Source organism: Homo sapiens, chromosome 10, assembly GCF_000001405.40.
Source record: "Homo sapiens chromosome 10, GRCh38.p14 Primary Assembly".
In the NCBI taxonomy this organism is placed as follows: domain Eukaryota; kingdom Metazoa; phylum Chordata; class Mammalia; order Primates; family Hominidae; genus Homo; species Homo sapiens.
The window spans coordinates 110230587-110245916 of NC_000010.11; the positions used below are offsets into that span (position 1 = coordinate 110230587).

The 15330-nt window shown below is 35.0% G+C and overlaps 1 protein-coding gene across 3 annotated transcripts in view; it reads left to right on the plus strand.

The window, feature by feature from the left end:
- The window catches only part of MXI1 (MAX interactor 1, dimerization protein), a 79761-nt gene that overhangs the window by 22982 nt on the left and 41449 nt on the right, over positions 1-15330 (plus strand). For 2 of the 3 annotated variants that reach the window (NM_130439.3, NM_005962.5), the window contains exon 3: positions 14242-14271. The exons of the other annotated variant lie outside the window; for it this stretch is intronic. In NM_130439.3, the coding sequence (NP_569157.2) occupies positions 14242-14271 (30 nt within the window). The remainder of the gene's footprint in view (positions 1-14241; positions 14272-15330) is intronic. 3 annotated transcript variants of the gene reach the window in all.

Consider the following 15330-nt stretch of genomic DNA (forward strand, 5'->3'; position numbering starts at 1 on the left):
GTATGTTAAAATGAAACACTAGAAATTATTTCTCCTTTGCCACTTATTTAAAATGCCTGCTTCATGGAAGTAAGGAGAGCTGAGGTAGAAATTCCAATACTGGGGTATTTGGACAATAGTGTTGGTCCATTTGAAAGAGGACACTGTAGGCTTCTTCTTAATTTTAAGTTTACTATTGGATTTTAATGAGATTTTATTATGCTGGTTACATAAAGCAGAAAGTTAGAAGACTTACAGAAATTTCCATGTATTTATCATCTGAAACAAGGAAAGGAATGGACTTCATAAGTATATATGTCTTATTTTTTCCTGATCAAAAAGCTACTAGTGTGGAAGTAGCTGTTATTTTATTACTATACATCTTGAACACTGATGTATGTTATAAAATGACATTTGTTTCTCTGACATCGTAGCATCTTTAAGATATAATGGTGATTGACTATTTTACCCCTGATATTCTCAGGTATTATATGATATGCCTGATAAAATGTTACTTTAGGCAGGGTGCAGTGGCTCACGCCTGTAATTCCAGCACTTTGGGAGGCTGAGGTAGGTGGATTGCCTGAGGTCAGGAGTTCGAGACCAGCCTGGCCAACATGATGAAACCCTGTCTCTACTAAAAATACAGAAATTAGCCAGGTGTGGTAGTGTGTGCCTGTAATCTCTGCTACTTGGGAGGCTGAGACAGGATAATTGCTGGAACTTGGGAGGCGGAGGTTGCAGTGAGCTGAGATTGCATCACTGCATTCCAGCCTGGGCAACAGAGTGATAATCCACCCCCCCCCCCTCAAAAAAGTAACTTTATAAATTTATGCTGAAAGTAGTTAACTCCTAATATTATAAATTCCTATTCCCCTTTCCCCCATTCCTTAAAATCTTATTTTCAAAGAAGTAAAAAGGAGAGAAAATAAATGATATAATGTGATATTACAAATATGTTCCTTGCAAATACCAGTAATTTTATCATTTGGGATCCTTCTGATAGTTGGAAGTGGCACCTATAATATATAATTAAAATAAATGCTTGATTTTACTGTGGTCTTGGTCACAGCCTTCTGGCACACTTCCAAAAATCAACATTGCTAAGATGTTACTGCTGTTAGAGAATGTGGCTGCAATAGCTATCTGGCTTTTTGGGGAGCATCAGATAAGTTCAAATTCCAGCTTCTTTACTATTTGGTACCACAGGTGAAAAATCTCAAGGTCTGTCATCCTTAAAACTCTACTAAATAAGCCATGACTGCAGTGTAACACTGATTTCTTCCTAAATATCTCTTCAGTCGGCCTTCTTTCCTGTTACCTTCATTACTATCCTCCTAATCTCAGCTACCATCATCTCTTACTTGGACGACTGCAGTAACTTCCTACCTGGTGTCCCTGCAACTACAGTTTTTTTTTTTGTCTGGTTCTGTTGCCCAGGCTGGAGTGCAGTGGCGCGATCTCAGCTCGCTGCAAGCTCTGCCTTCTGGGTTCACGCCATTCTCCTGCCTCAGCCTCCCGAGTAGCTAGGACTACAGGTGCCTGCCACCATGCCCGGCTAATTTTTTGTATTTTTAGTAGAGACAGGGTTTCACTGTGTTAGCCAGGATGGTCTCAATCTCCTGACCTCATGAACCGCCCGGCTTGGCCTCCCAAAGTGCTGGGATTACAGGTGTGACCCACCGCACTTGGCCAGTTCTTATGAATTACATTGGCCAGCCTTCTTTTGATTCCTTCAGTACGCGTTTTCTTCTACCTCAAGATCTTTGCATACTTTCTGTTCCCTGCAGGGAATCATTTTCCCTCCCCCTTTGTTATCTCTGTTGAATAACACTCTTCTTCAGCTCAATCATAAGTTCCTCAGGAATGTTTCCTCATCTGCCGTAGTAGATCAGGTCTTCACATACTTCATGGCACCCCTATTTTTCCTTCATAGTGTTCATCACATTTGTAGAAATACAGTTATCCAGTTGTTTCTTAAATTCGTGTCCTATTCACTGGATTAAAAACCCTGCGAGGCGGGCAGGGATTGAGTCTCTTCTGCTTAAACATTTATCCCTAGTACTTATCACAGTGCCCCGTAAATAGTATGTGTTTCTTAAAGAATGGAAGGTTTTCAAACTCCAAGCAGACTGTCTTAAATTGAATTTCTTTTTTGTGCTGAGTACCATATTAGACTGGAAGGAAGAGTGATAAAACCCCTGTTTTGGCAAACTCTGATTACTTTGTGTTCCAAGGGATGTTAATGATACATTTGGAAAAACAGCATGTAGTATTTAAAGAATAAAAATCTCTAAACTGTCAATTCTTTTAAACAAGCAGGCTACAGAATGCTACACTTAATTTTGAAGAACATTCAGTGTCATCCTGTGTCATGAAAATAAAATAATACCAAACTTGCATATTGAAAGAAACAGAAGTCTTTCAGATATTGGCAATAAATATTCATATGAGCCTGTGACACACACATAGTAATTGCATTGTTTTAAGGTAATCTGGGAAGTAGTAAATAGCCAATTTATGCTTTAATTTCAAGTTGATATATTTCTTCTCTTTAGTGTCCTATGGATACTAAAGAATCTCATAAAAGCAGTATCTCAGTTCCACTTTCTAAGATTGAGGACACTAAAAAACAACTTTTCTGTTGTTTATAAGGCTTTAGTTTAATTTTTCTTAAACTGTAGAATAAAGAAATGCTTTAGTCTTATTTTAGATAGAATTATTGTATTGTTATTTTTTAGCTTTGCATCCTTTTCAGCTATCTTCATGGATTTTTAGTTTTTCTGGGGAGAGGGATGGTGGTGAATTATTTTCCTAGGATAGTTTCAAAGGATTTTTTCCAGTAGTAATTTGAGATGCTTTATCTTCTCTTTATTCTACGTGAACCTATTTGTTCACAGAAGAATTGAATGAAGCCTTATTTTTATTTTTGTGTAATTTTTTTCTACTATTCTGTGTTTTTCAAATTTTTTTATATTAAAAAGTAGTTTCTGGGTCTTTGTTCCGTAGAAAACTCCCAAAGTTTCAGGACAAAAATGTAGATTAGTAGCAGTTAAACTCTTAATGATGTTGTTATTATTCTTAAGTATTTTCTGCATTTTGAGTGATTAACACATCCAGTGAAATGTGTTTTGTGATAGTCTGTCTTCTACCAAAATTGACTTAAATGAAAAATTCCCAAGAATTACTTATATGCCTTATACTAAAAAAACTGAGGCTTTCCTTTAAATGCTTCTTTGAAGTGTAAGTTTGCTATTGCTGGGTTTCTTAAGGTTATATTCCTCTATGGAAGTATTGAAGGAAACTTGTATGATCATGCCTTGTAAGTCAGTAGGACAGCTGTTTCTGTTCCTAGTCGATGAAAGGCATTTTTGTCAAAATATTGAATATATGATGTAGAAGATCACAAAATGTAGAAAGGGAATTCTTTAGTACAATTCTCTGATTTATGAAGACAAAATATTATCACTCATTTTATGATTAAAGCACATGTGGCTTAGAGATGGTGATTGCTTAAGCCTTACAGCTGTAGATGATGGTTGACTTTATTGTCAAGCTGGATTTTAAGCAATATATGCATCATTGTTATAATCAGGCAGTACTGTTGACTGGAAGAAAGCTTTCTCTTCTAGATTTCTCCTTGCAAATGAAAGAACATTGCCTGCTTTTGAATATAGCATGATTCTTTGTCATTTCTTCAGTAAGGACAGTTTTCTAGATACTAATCTAATCAAAGAGGCTTGATGGTATGCTTTGACAGAGTGTATTTCCAGGTCCCATTTTTAGTGTGATTGTATAGTGCTGATGAAATATAAACATGCATTTTTTGTTAGATTGTTTTTTTGTTTTGGTTTCCTACATTTTAAAACACAGTCAGTGGTACCATAATTAACAGCATTACCCATAATATCAAACCTATTTTTTTGAAGTTGCTCCTAACTTTTATATTATTATTAATATACTCAGCTCCTCCCCATAGATGCAGGTGTTATACATCTATGGTACCACTCGTTTTTCCCCCAACAGTTATTTACTGAATGTTTATTTCATGCCTGACTCTTAAAATGATTACCTTTGGAAGTCAGATGAGTTAGGAAATTGCTGATATTTTCTGTACTTTTAAAGGTTTTTTAGAATATTGCTCTGTAATAGAATTTGTTGTTAACAAATGAAGTAGTCTAGATAATTAGTTGTTTACCTTAATGTGTTTTTTAACTTCGAGAATATGTTTAAGAGCAATTATTTTAACCTTCAAAATTCTCTGTAGTTTCTAGTGTTGCTGCCTTACCTAAGAAATATTATTTTACAAACAATATTTAACTTTAGAATGTATAAGATGCTTCTTAATTTCTGCTGCTACCAGGTGAACTAGTTATTTTAAATTCTTAACATTTTATAAAGGTAATATATGTATATAGTTTAAAAAGTCAATTAATACTAAATAGCTTATAAAGGAAAATAACATCCCCATGCCCCACCTCTCTCCATCCAATTTCTGCTTCTTAGAGACTACCACTTCCGATAATTTCACAGCTTCTTCTGTTGTTTGCTTTCATATTTCTAAATGAGAAGCGTTTCTTGCTATAGAAGATGAGAATTTGACTGTCATACTCTTTGACTAACAGCAGATTAATATGCCAGAAATGAAGATTTTTAAAAAGTACATGAGAGCAAATATTCTCCAAAGGAATGATGTTTCCAAATGAGATACTTTGTAGTACTGTTTATTATTAATCACCTACAGAAAAACATTGATATTTTACTCTCATCTCTGAGTACTTTATGGTAAATTATTGCCTCAGTTTCATGATGAGGTTTATTAGTTAAAAAAAATAAGCTTGGCCGGGCACAGTGGCTTACACCTGTAATCTCAGCACTTTGGGAGGCTGAGGCCAGCAGATCATGAGGTCAGGAGATCGAGACCATCCTGGCTAACATGGGGAAACCCTGTCTCTACTAAAAATACAAAAAAATTAGCCAGGCATGGTGGCGGGTGCCTGTAGTCCCAGCTACTCGGGAGGCTGAGGCAGGAGAATGGTGTGAACCCAAGAGGCAGAGCTTGCAGTGAGCCAAGATTGCACCACTGCACTCCAGCCTGGGTGACAGAGCAAGACTCTGTCTCAAAAAATAAATAAATAAATAAATAAATAAATAAGCTCTATTGGCCGGGTGTGGTGGCTTATGCCTGTGTTCCCAACACTTTGGGAGGCCGAGGCAGGCGGATCATGAGGTCAGGAGTTCTAGACCAGCCTGACCAAAATGGTGAAGCCCGTCTCTACTAAAACACAAAAATTAGCCAGGCATGGTGGCACACGCCAGTAATCCCAGCTACTTGGGAGGCTGAAGCAGGAGAATCACTTGAACCCGGATAGTGGAGTCTACAGTGAGTTGAGATCATGCTACTGCACTCCAGCCTGGGCAACAGAGTGAGACTCCATCTCAAAAAAAATTTTTTTCTCTATTTTCTTCTAGCAGTTTATAATATTAGGTTTTACATTTAGATTTAAAATTCATTTAGAGTTAATTTTTGTAGAGGGTGTGAAGTAAAGGTTGAAGTTCTTTTTTTTTTTTTTTTTTTTTTTTTTTTTTTTTTTTTTTGCAAATGGACATCCAGTTGTTCCAGTATCATTTGTTGAAAAGACTATACTTTATTCATTAAATGGCCTTGGCACCTTTGTGAAAATCAGTTGACCACAGACTTGTGAGCCTTATTTCTGGATTTTCTGTTCTGATCCTTTGATCTAAATATTCATCCTTATTCTAATGCCACACTGTCTTAATTATTATAGTTTTTCAAAAAGTTATGAAATCAGGTAATGAATGTATTCCGACTTGGTTCTTCTTTTTCAAAAGTTCCTTTGGCTATTCTAGGTCTTTTGCATTTTTATTTTAATTAATTTATTTTTTTGAGACAGGGTTTCACTCTTTCACCCAGGCTGGAGTGCAGTGGCATGATCATGGCCCACTGCAGCCTTAACCTTCTCGGGCTCAGGTGATTCTCCCATCGCAGCCTCCTGAGTGAGGAGCTGGGACTACAGGTGTGCACTCCCACACTCTGCTAATTTTTATATTTTTTGTAGAGATAGGCTTTCACCATGTTGCCCAGGCTGGTCTTGAACTCCTGGGCTCATGCAGTCCTGCCACCTCTACCTTCCAAAGTGTTGGGATTACAGGCGTGAGCCACTGTGCGTGGCCTGCATTTTTACATAAATTTTAGAATCAGTTTGTCAGTTTCTACAACAGAGCCTGCTGGAATTTTTATTGGGATTGCACTGGATCTATAAATTAATTTGGGGAAACCCAACATGTATTAACTATTGAATCTTCTAATTCATTAACATGAATTAATAGACATGGTATGTCTATTACTTAGATATTTTCAAATTTCAGCAGTATTTTTTAGGTTTTCAGAGTATGGGTCATACACATACTTTATTAAATTTTTCCTTAAGTATTCTTTGATGCTATTTTAAATAGCAATTAAATTTGGCATTTTGGTTTTGTGAACTGACTTCGCTAAACTTAATTGTTCTAATAGTCTGTATATTCCTTAGGATTTTCTAAATAGACAGTAATGTTGTTTGCAAGTAAAGACATTTTTATTTCTTCCATTTCCTTCTGTGTATTTCCTTTTCTTGTTTTATTTCACTGGCTAGAACCTCTAGTACAGTGCTGGATAGAAGTGATGAGAGTGGACATTCTTGCCCTGTTCCTGATCTTATGAAAAAATGCATTCTTTGACCATTGAGTGTGACTATAGTTTTTCTTAGATGCCTTTTAGGTTGAGTAAATTCCCTTCTTCCCTTATTTGCTAAGAGTTTTTATCATGAATGGATGGTAAATTTTATTTAAATGCTTTTTCTACATCTATTTAGGTGATACTGTCATTTTCTTTTTTATTCTGTTAATATGGAGGATTACATTGATGGATTTTTGAGTCTTAAACCTGCATTCCTGAAATAAATCCTACTTATTCATGTTGTATTTTGTACTGTTGCAGTACTGATACTAACAACACAGAGCTAAAACAAACTTCACAGGTTTGAGGATTTAGTCCCCAACATGTCTGCCCTCGCTACAGATGCCAGCCATAAGTTCAGGAGTCCTCAGGCCACTCTCACATCTGACCAACTGGCTGCAAATTCAGAGGTTCCTACAGCCCCTTCAGGTTTGATAATTTGCTGGAACTACTTATAACTCAGGAAAGTGCTACACTTTGTCTGTGTTTAGAGACAGAGTCTCAACTGTCACCCGGAGTAGAGTGCAGTGGTGAGATCAAAGCCCACTGCAACCTCAATCTCCTGGGCTCAAGGCAGTCCTTCTGCCTCAGCCTCTCAAGTAGCTAGGAGTACAGGCATGCGCTACAATGTCCAGCTGTTATGCTTATAATTGCAAGTTTTATTATAAATGATACAGATCAGGACCAGCCAAATGCCCAGACACAGAGAGAGAGGTCTGGGAGGAACCTGGACACAGAGCCTCTGTGCTTTTTCCATGGAATCAGGATGCATTACTCTCCTGGCACATTTATGTGTTTACCAACCATGAAACTCACCCAAGTTTCAGGTTCCAGAGTTTTTATTGGGATATTATTACATAAGCATGATTGATTGAATCATTGGTTATATGGTTGTCAATTCCCAGTACTTCTCTCCCCTGTGTTGGGCCACAATCAGTGACTCAAAGCCCCAACCCTCTAATCACATGGTTGGTCTTTCTGATGTGACCATCCCCTATCCTGAGTTATCTCTCCTTGGCATAAACTCAGGTGTAGTCCGAAGACCCACTATGAATAATGAAGACACACCTAATTACTCAGAAAATTTCAAGGTTTTAGAAGCTCTGTCCCAGGAACTAGGGTACTTTCTGTATATTATTGGGTTCAATTTGGCAAAATTTTGTTAGAATTTTTGTGTCTGTGTTCATGAGAGATGTTAGTCTTTGTTTTGTTTGTTTTCTATGTAATTTGTCAGGGTTTGGTATCAGGCTAATACTGGTCTCATAAAATGATTTGGAAAATGTTCCCTCTCTCTTTATTTTTTCAAAGATTTTATGTAGGATTGGTTTTATTTATTCCTTAAATGCCTGGTAAAATTTGCCAATGAAGAACTTTCAGGCCTGGAGTTTTCTTTGTGGGAAGGTTTTTTTAAAAATTATTATTTTAATCTCTTTAATAGATGAAAGGCAATTCAGAGTTTCTGTTTCTTCTTGAGTCAGTTTTGATCATTTGTATCTTTCAAGAAATTTGTTCATATCATCTAAGTTATCAAATTTAGATGATGTGGACAATTATTGGCATAAAGTTGTTAATAATATTCTCTTATCCTTTTAATGTATGATGTATGTAGAATCTGTAATGATGTACACTCTTGATACTGTTTTTGTATTGTAATTTTTGTATTTTATTCTTCATCAGCCTTAGAGGTAGTTTATCAATGTGTTGATTTTTTAAAGTCAGCTTTCAATTTTACTGATATTCACTATTTCTCATTTTCTATGTCTTTCATTCCTGTCCTTGGTTTTTATTATATTTCTCTACTTCAGTTTCTCAACGTTAGCAGTCTTGACATTTGGGGTCAGATAATTCTGTTTTGTGCATCATAGGATGTTTAGCAGCATCCCTAGCATCTCCTCACAAAATGCCAGTAGCCTCCTCCTGATTGTGATAACCAGAAGATCTCCAGACATTGTCAGATGTGTTGGTGGGCAAAATTGCTTACAGTTGAGAACCGTTGCTCAACTTCTTTCAGTTTAGTTTGTTCCTTTTTCTACTTTCTTAAGGTGGAATCTTGGATCATTGATTTTGGACACTACCCTCCCAACAGAAGGATTTAAAGCTAAACAGTTGTGTTTAAGCACTGCTTTAGCTACATTCAACAACTTTTGATATGTTGTGTCATTAAGTTCAGAATATTTTCTAATTTCTCTGCAATTTGTTCTTTGAGCTGTGATTTATGTTCCAAATATTGGGATTTTTCTAATTAGCTTACTGTTGCTGATTTCTAATTAAATTTCATTGTGATTGGAGAACTTACTCTGTATGATTTCAGTACTTTTAGATTTGTTAAAAATCATCCTTTACAAAGCACATTTGTTTGAGATGTAGTATGCCAAAAGATTTGTCAAGGACTTACATTAGGGTGTTTGCTATATTTGAAGTAAGAATTGATTTTTAAAGAATTCAGTTTGTATGCTATTAAAAAATTTTTTCCTGTTTACCAAAGTAAAATGTACATACAAAAAAAGCATACAAATCCTGTGTACAGCTCAATGAATTTTTACAAAAGCAAAGAAATATTACAAATCTTAGAAGCCCCCTCCTGACTTTTCCAGTCACTGTCACCCCCTCCCCAAGGTAACTGCAATTCCAACTTTTTTTTTTAATTCCAACTTTTTATGCCATAATTTAGTTTTGCCAGTTTTGAACTTTATGTGAATGGAGTTATGTAGTGTGTACTTTTTGTGTGTGTTTGGCTTTTTTCATTCAACATTATGTTGAAATTGTGTAGATTAATCCATGTTATTGCACAATAGTTGTAGTTAGTTTATTCTCATTGCTGTGTAATATTACATTGTATGAATATTTCACAATTTATCCATTCTACTATTGATGAATGCTTCCAGTTTGGGGCCAGTATGAATAGTTCTATACAAGCATTCTTTTGTATGTCCTTTGGTGAACATGTAAACATATATTGGCTTGGTATATGCCTGTAAGTGGAAATACTTAGTCATAAAGTATACATATATCCAGCTTTGATATGTAAGTTTTAAGGAAAAAGGTTATTGATTATAGTTATTGTTGTGCATCCTGTTTAGATACTTGATGTTCGTGGGCTTAGTTATTGTGGTGGTAATTGTTTTGTCATTGTTAAGAAAGAAGCAATACATTTCTTATGAGGCATTTTTTCTAAAAGTTTATAGTATTCAAATTTTACTGTTTTTAATGGTTTTTAAAAATGAGATGTACTTTTCGATGGAAACAAATGCAGAAAACTACCGTCTTAAAAGAAGAATAATAATAAATAGAAGTTTTACTGTTCCACTAATCCCAGTATATTTTCAATCTCAACCCCTTTGGTATATCCTTGAAAGATACCTGCTCTACTATAGCTAAAATTTTCTGGTTTTTTTGCCCTCTACATGTATGTGTAAGAATTGTAAGCTTTAGGATACCAGTTAGTTAGAATTTAGCTTTGTAGAATATGCTCTTTTCATTGTGTGGAGGGCAACATCTGTGAGGCACTTTAGGATTAGAAAGTAAGTTAAATGAAAATGTTAACAAAGTAGGGATTGGCTCATTAATTCTGCAAAATTAGAGGTCTTTTCTTTTGCTAGAAGAGAGTATTGAAATTCTGGAGTGGGGATTTTTATTTTCTTTCCACAGTGGTACTACTCTTGAGCCAAACTGTACCATTTCGTATAGTTTCATTTCTATGGTTCATTTCTTTGACTGCCACCAAACTACACCCTAAATAATCACAAGTTTATGTATTGGAGCTATGTTGTAGTCAATGAAAAGTCACATATCTGGTTAAGGTAGTCACATTTCATAGATAATGACTCCCATTCAAATAGGGAATACATTAGGATGCCTCTCTTAAAGGGATGCTGTTTGCGAAAAAGATTACCTGTGATTCAATGATAAAATGATAGAAATGTCTTTGTCATTGGAAGTTGTTAAGTGTTCAGGGTAAGGGTGTTTGAAAGGAAGACACAATTCATTAGTGTTTGCTCTCAGAGGTGCATTTTATTGGGAGAAGAAAAGTGGGCTAACTAGATGGGTTATTCAGAACATCTCAGCCTTACACAGGGAATTTATCATAATTGAATATTTCAATGGAACATTATTGGAAGGGCTTGGTTGGACACATACCTCAGAGAAGCAAAGGGGTTGTTTCTGAATGTGCTAGTGTGTGATACATTTAATTACTTGTTTATCGCCTGTACTGTTTGGATTACTTTCTCTGTGTACGTATAATTAGGCATCTCTCTCTGTAATATACTCCTAAACCTTGTACTGTCCTCACAGCTGACTAAATGATAAAGTAGCTTCAGTCACCTATCTTTTCTTTCAGTTTCTCTTTCCATCATTATGGTTGTTGTTTGCTTATTTCCAGGCTAATTCAAAGTGTTATTGAGAACCTATCAATTTGTTGTCCCATGTAGTATAGTTAATAACGTTTTGGGTAACATAATTTTAGTCTTTTAAAAAAGTAATAAAAATACTAACAGTAGCTAGCATCTATTAAATACTTATTAGGAGCTAGATGTTTTTACATCTGTTTCTCTAATTCTCACAGTAACCTGGCCAAGGCATGTGTAATACTCCAGTTTTACAGATGAGGAAACTGTAAACCAGCGAGGTTAAATAATTTGTCTCAAAGTTACACAGCCTGTGTGAGTGACAGAGTTAATATTTAGATTCATGACTTTCTTTCTCTAACACCATGGGTCTTTATGATCTTTTTGTGTTGTTTGCTGGTTTTGCTTTGGACTTCACAACTCGACTTGTTTGCTTATCTTATCCCTTCCACTTGGAATGGCATCTCCTTAACAGTTTCAGACTCTACTAGTAGCAAATGTACCTATTATTTAAGCCTTAGACCAAATGCCACCCTTCTAAAGCTTTTCTTACAGTGCCATTTGGAAGTAAACTGTCTCTTTTGAGCTCCCACAATACTTTGTACCTTTCTTTGTATATTTATTTTGCCTTCAGTTATAATTATTGCTAAACATATCTTAATTTACCCAATGGAGACTGTCTTTGATTTCCTGTAGTGTAAGACAGCCTTGAACACTGAAGGTACTCAGTATTTGTTGACTTGACATTACAGGTAAAAACCCATCAAAATAGGAGTAAACACTATTGATGCTTTTGTAAAAAAAATTGGAAGAACATGGCAACATGGTAATGATTTGTATATTTATGATCATTTTTGCTTCTCGTTATTTGAAAATCTTGCTAAATTTTGCTGGTGGTATAATTAAATGTGGCATGCATTTCCTGGTTTGGTGAAAAGGTTCATAATCTTAGCTATCATTTTCTTTAAAAAAAGATAATAAAGAAATGTCTGTTTGGCAGGCAGGAAGAACCTGCTGTTTTAATTTTGTTCACAGCAGTGGGTCAGATTATGATCTTTTGGAGCTAGCTTTGATAATAGACTCAATATAATATTGGAATTCAACAATTGGTTATTGTTGAGTATATTATCTCTTGCACTGATGGCTGTCAGTGGGATTGCCAGACTGTTTAGAATAAGTTTATGGCTGTTTAGAATAAGTTTATGGCAAATAGTCTGCTCTTCTCTAAATACAATGTTTCCATTTATTACTTACTGTAGTATTTTATATGTGCATTGTCTTTTTGTTTTGTTTTTAGTTTTCTTCTCAGAGAGAGGCAATTAAACCAAAACTTGCTCACCAGTGGGGGTGGGGAATCTTACTATTGATTATTTATTCAAATTTTGAATTATATTTTTTCTTCTAAACGTCTTTAAATAGGCCTTTTCCCTCTTCTAACTTGACTGATTAACATTTAATTCAAACAAAGATTAACAAAATTTTAAACACTTTTATGGTGATAAAGGCACACTGTGGTTATAATTTATTGAATTTTGAGCTCCGAGTCTCTGTTAAACTAGGATTTCTGACTGTGCTTTTATAGTTTCTTCTATCTGAATTCTTGAAACATCATAAGACTCTATTTACTTCCCTCAAAGGAGAAGTCCTTTTGTTAAGATAATATTTTTAAATGAATATCAGTCTTTTTCATTTCATGTCTCTTGGACTTGATGAAATTACTCATGAAGCAAAAGGTGGATAGGAGACAGTAACTCAAAGAAGTCTTTTGGCCCTTAAGCTAAGACAGTGGGTAAAAGTTACACAAATTATGAGACCAGCAAAAGCACTCTTAATTTTAAGGTTTGAGAATCTGATTATTAAATATCCATTGAAATAATCAGATTAAAGCCATAAATATTCTTTAAGCATTTGACATTAACCAGAATCTACAAAATGATTAAAGTTTTAGTTCTAGTGACAGGAATTTAAATTCTCCTTCATAAAATTCCTGTTGTTGTTAATGTTAAGTTATTGCAAAAGTAACACATGTTAATTCTAGGGAACTAGTATAACAATTCTAATAGTAGCTAACTTTAGAGTTCATTATATTTTGCTATTTAGCATAAACCTGTTAGTCCTTATAACAATCATATGAGGCAAATACTGTTATTTTTCCTATTTCATAGATGAGGAAACCGAGCACAGAGAAATGAAGGGACTTTACTGAGGCCATACAGTATTTGGACTCAGGCAGTTTGGCCTTAGAGTCTGTGCCCTTAACCTCTGTTCAGTATTGCTTCTCACTGAGTGGTTAAGATTTGGGGATTGTTAAGATAGACCTGGATTGAAATCATGGCTGCCACTTTATACTCTTGGGAGAGGAGTATATTTCTTGACTTCTCTGAGCTTCAGTATTCTTGATTATAAAACAAAGGTTGTTTTAGGGATAAAATAAGATATATTAACTGCTTATCCCACTGTTCCCCAGATGCTGTGCTTGTTCAATAGAAGGTATCATTTAAAACAAATAATGAGAAACAAAAGGAAAAAAGTCACCAAAACTAAACAATAACCATTGCTAACATTTCGAGTTATCCAGTCTTGTAAAACACGTTTCTTGATTTTATTAATATATTTTTTCTTTATATTAATTTTCTTTCATGTATAACTTTTTCTTGTTTTTGTTTCACAAAATAAGGTGGGAAGACTTGGATTTGCCTGTATCACTAAGCAGTAACGCAAGCCTTTTTCAGCTTCTATGCTAGCCAAAACTTTTTTTTCTCTGTTTAGAAGTGGGTAGATGGAGATAGAGGAGGACATGGAAGTACACCCACTTTTTTTTTTCCTTTTTAAATAAAAACAGGATTATGTTTAAAATTTCTTATATAACATCTGCAGATCAACAAAATCTAGGATGCTAGAAGTAGGGAGAACATGTGCTAGTATTACTTTTATTAAAATAACAATGAAACTCCAGTTTCAGACTGTTAAGAGTTGTTAACTGAAAATACTATATTTGTATAAACAATCCTAATGAATGTAGACTATTTCCTCTCGATGAGTGAGCTTGTAGAAGTCTGACCATGTGTTGCATTGTTAAATAAATTCACTAGGTGTAGCATAGCAGTAACTAATCTGTCTTTCTATAGCTTTAGCAACAAAGCATGGCTAATGCTTTTTTTTTTTTTTGTCTTTTAGATCTACACACAATGAGCTGGAAAAGAATCGGTGAGTCAGTGATGAGGTACAGCTTTCACTTACGTTTAAAAGCAAACTCACCATTTTACCTGTGAAAATAATGTAATAGTGCATATGTAGTTGTAATTTTATTTTTCAGATGTATAGCCCATTGTGAATCTGATATATATGTATTTTCTCCAAAAAATGATTTAATAGTAAGCTTATAGCAGCTAGAAGACATAAATACATTTTTAAAGCTTACTCGAATTTGAGTTTTAGGTATAGCCTTTATTTCTGTCTCTGAAAATGAGTTAATTGTTACAAGCTCATGGTTTAAATGTAGTTTTGCTAAAGGGTAGGATTTCTAAAGAGTAGGTAATAAGCATTACAAATTGGAGGGCATTGAATTTTTCTTCCTTTGTAATTTGTTCATTCATTCATTCATTTATTCATGCATTCAACAACTATTTATCAAACATGAGCTGTATGTCAGTGCCAGGCAGGCAGAATGCTTTATATAGGAAATACAAGAATATATATGATAGTTTTTGTCCTTAAGGAATTCAGAACTTTGTAAGGGAAAGACAGGTAATTAAAGTACTATATAATGTGGTAAGTATGGTAATGGAGAAGCAGAAGGTACTAGAGGGTACTGAAAGATATTTTAGAAGGTCACCTGATACCTTTTTGAAGGGAGTCTTGGAAAGTTCTGCAGAGGATGGTGAGTGAGCAGTGTATACTGAGGAAACTGCAAAAGGTTCAGTGTGACTATAAAAGATTGTAACATGAGTAAAGCATGCCAGGTGTTGAAGAGTCTTGTCTACCATGCCCAAGAGTTTAGACTTCCTGAGACCCATAGGGAGCAGTTAAATAATTTTAAAGTGGATTATCATATGATCAGCCTGTGTCTTGGAAATATCGTTTTGGCTACAGCTTGAAGAATTGGTTGGTTGGGAGAAGGGATACCAGAGGCATGAAGATGCTTTTGAAGGCTATTGCAGTAATCTAGGTAAGAGATGATGGTGGCCACTGAGATAGAAGTAGACAAAGTAAAGAGTATGGAATGGAGTCAATAGAAATTGGTGATTAGTTAGCTATGGATAGTTG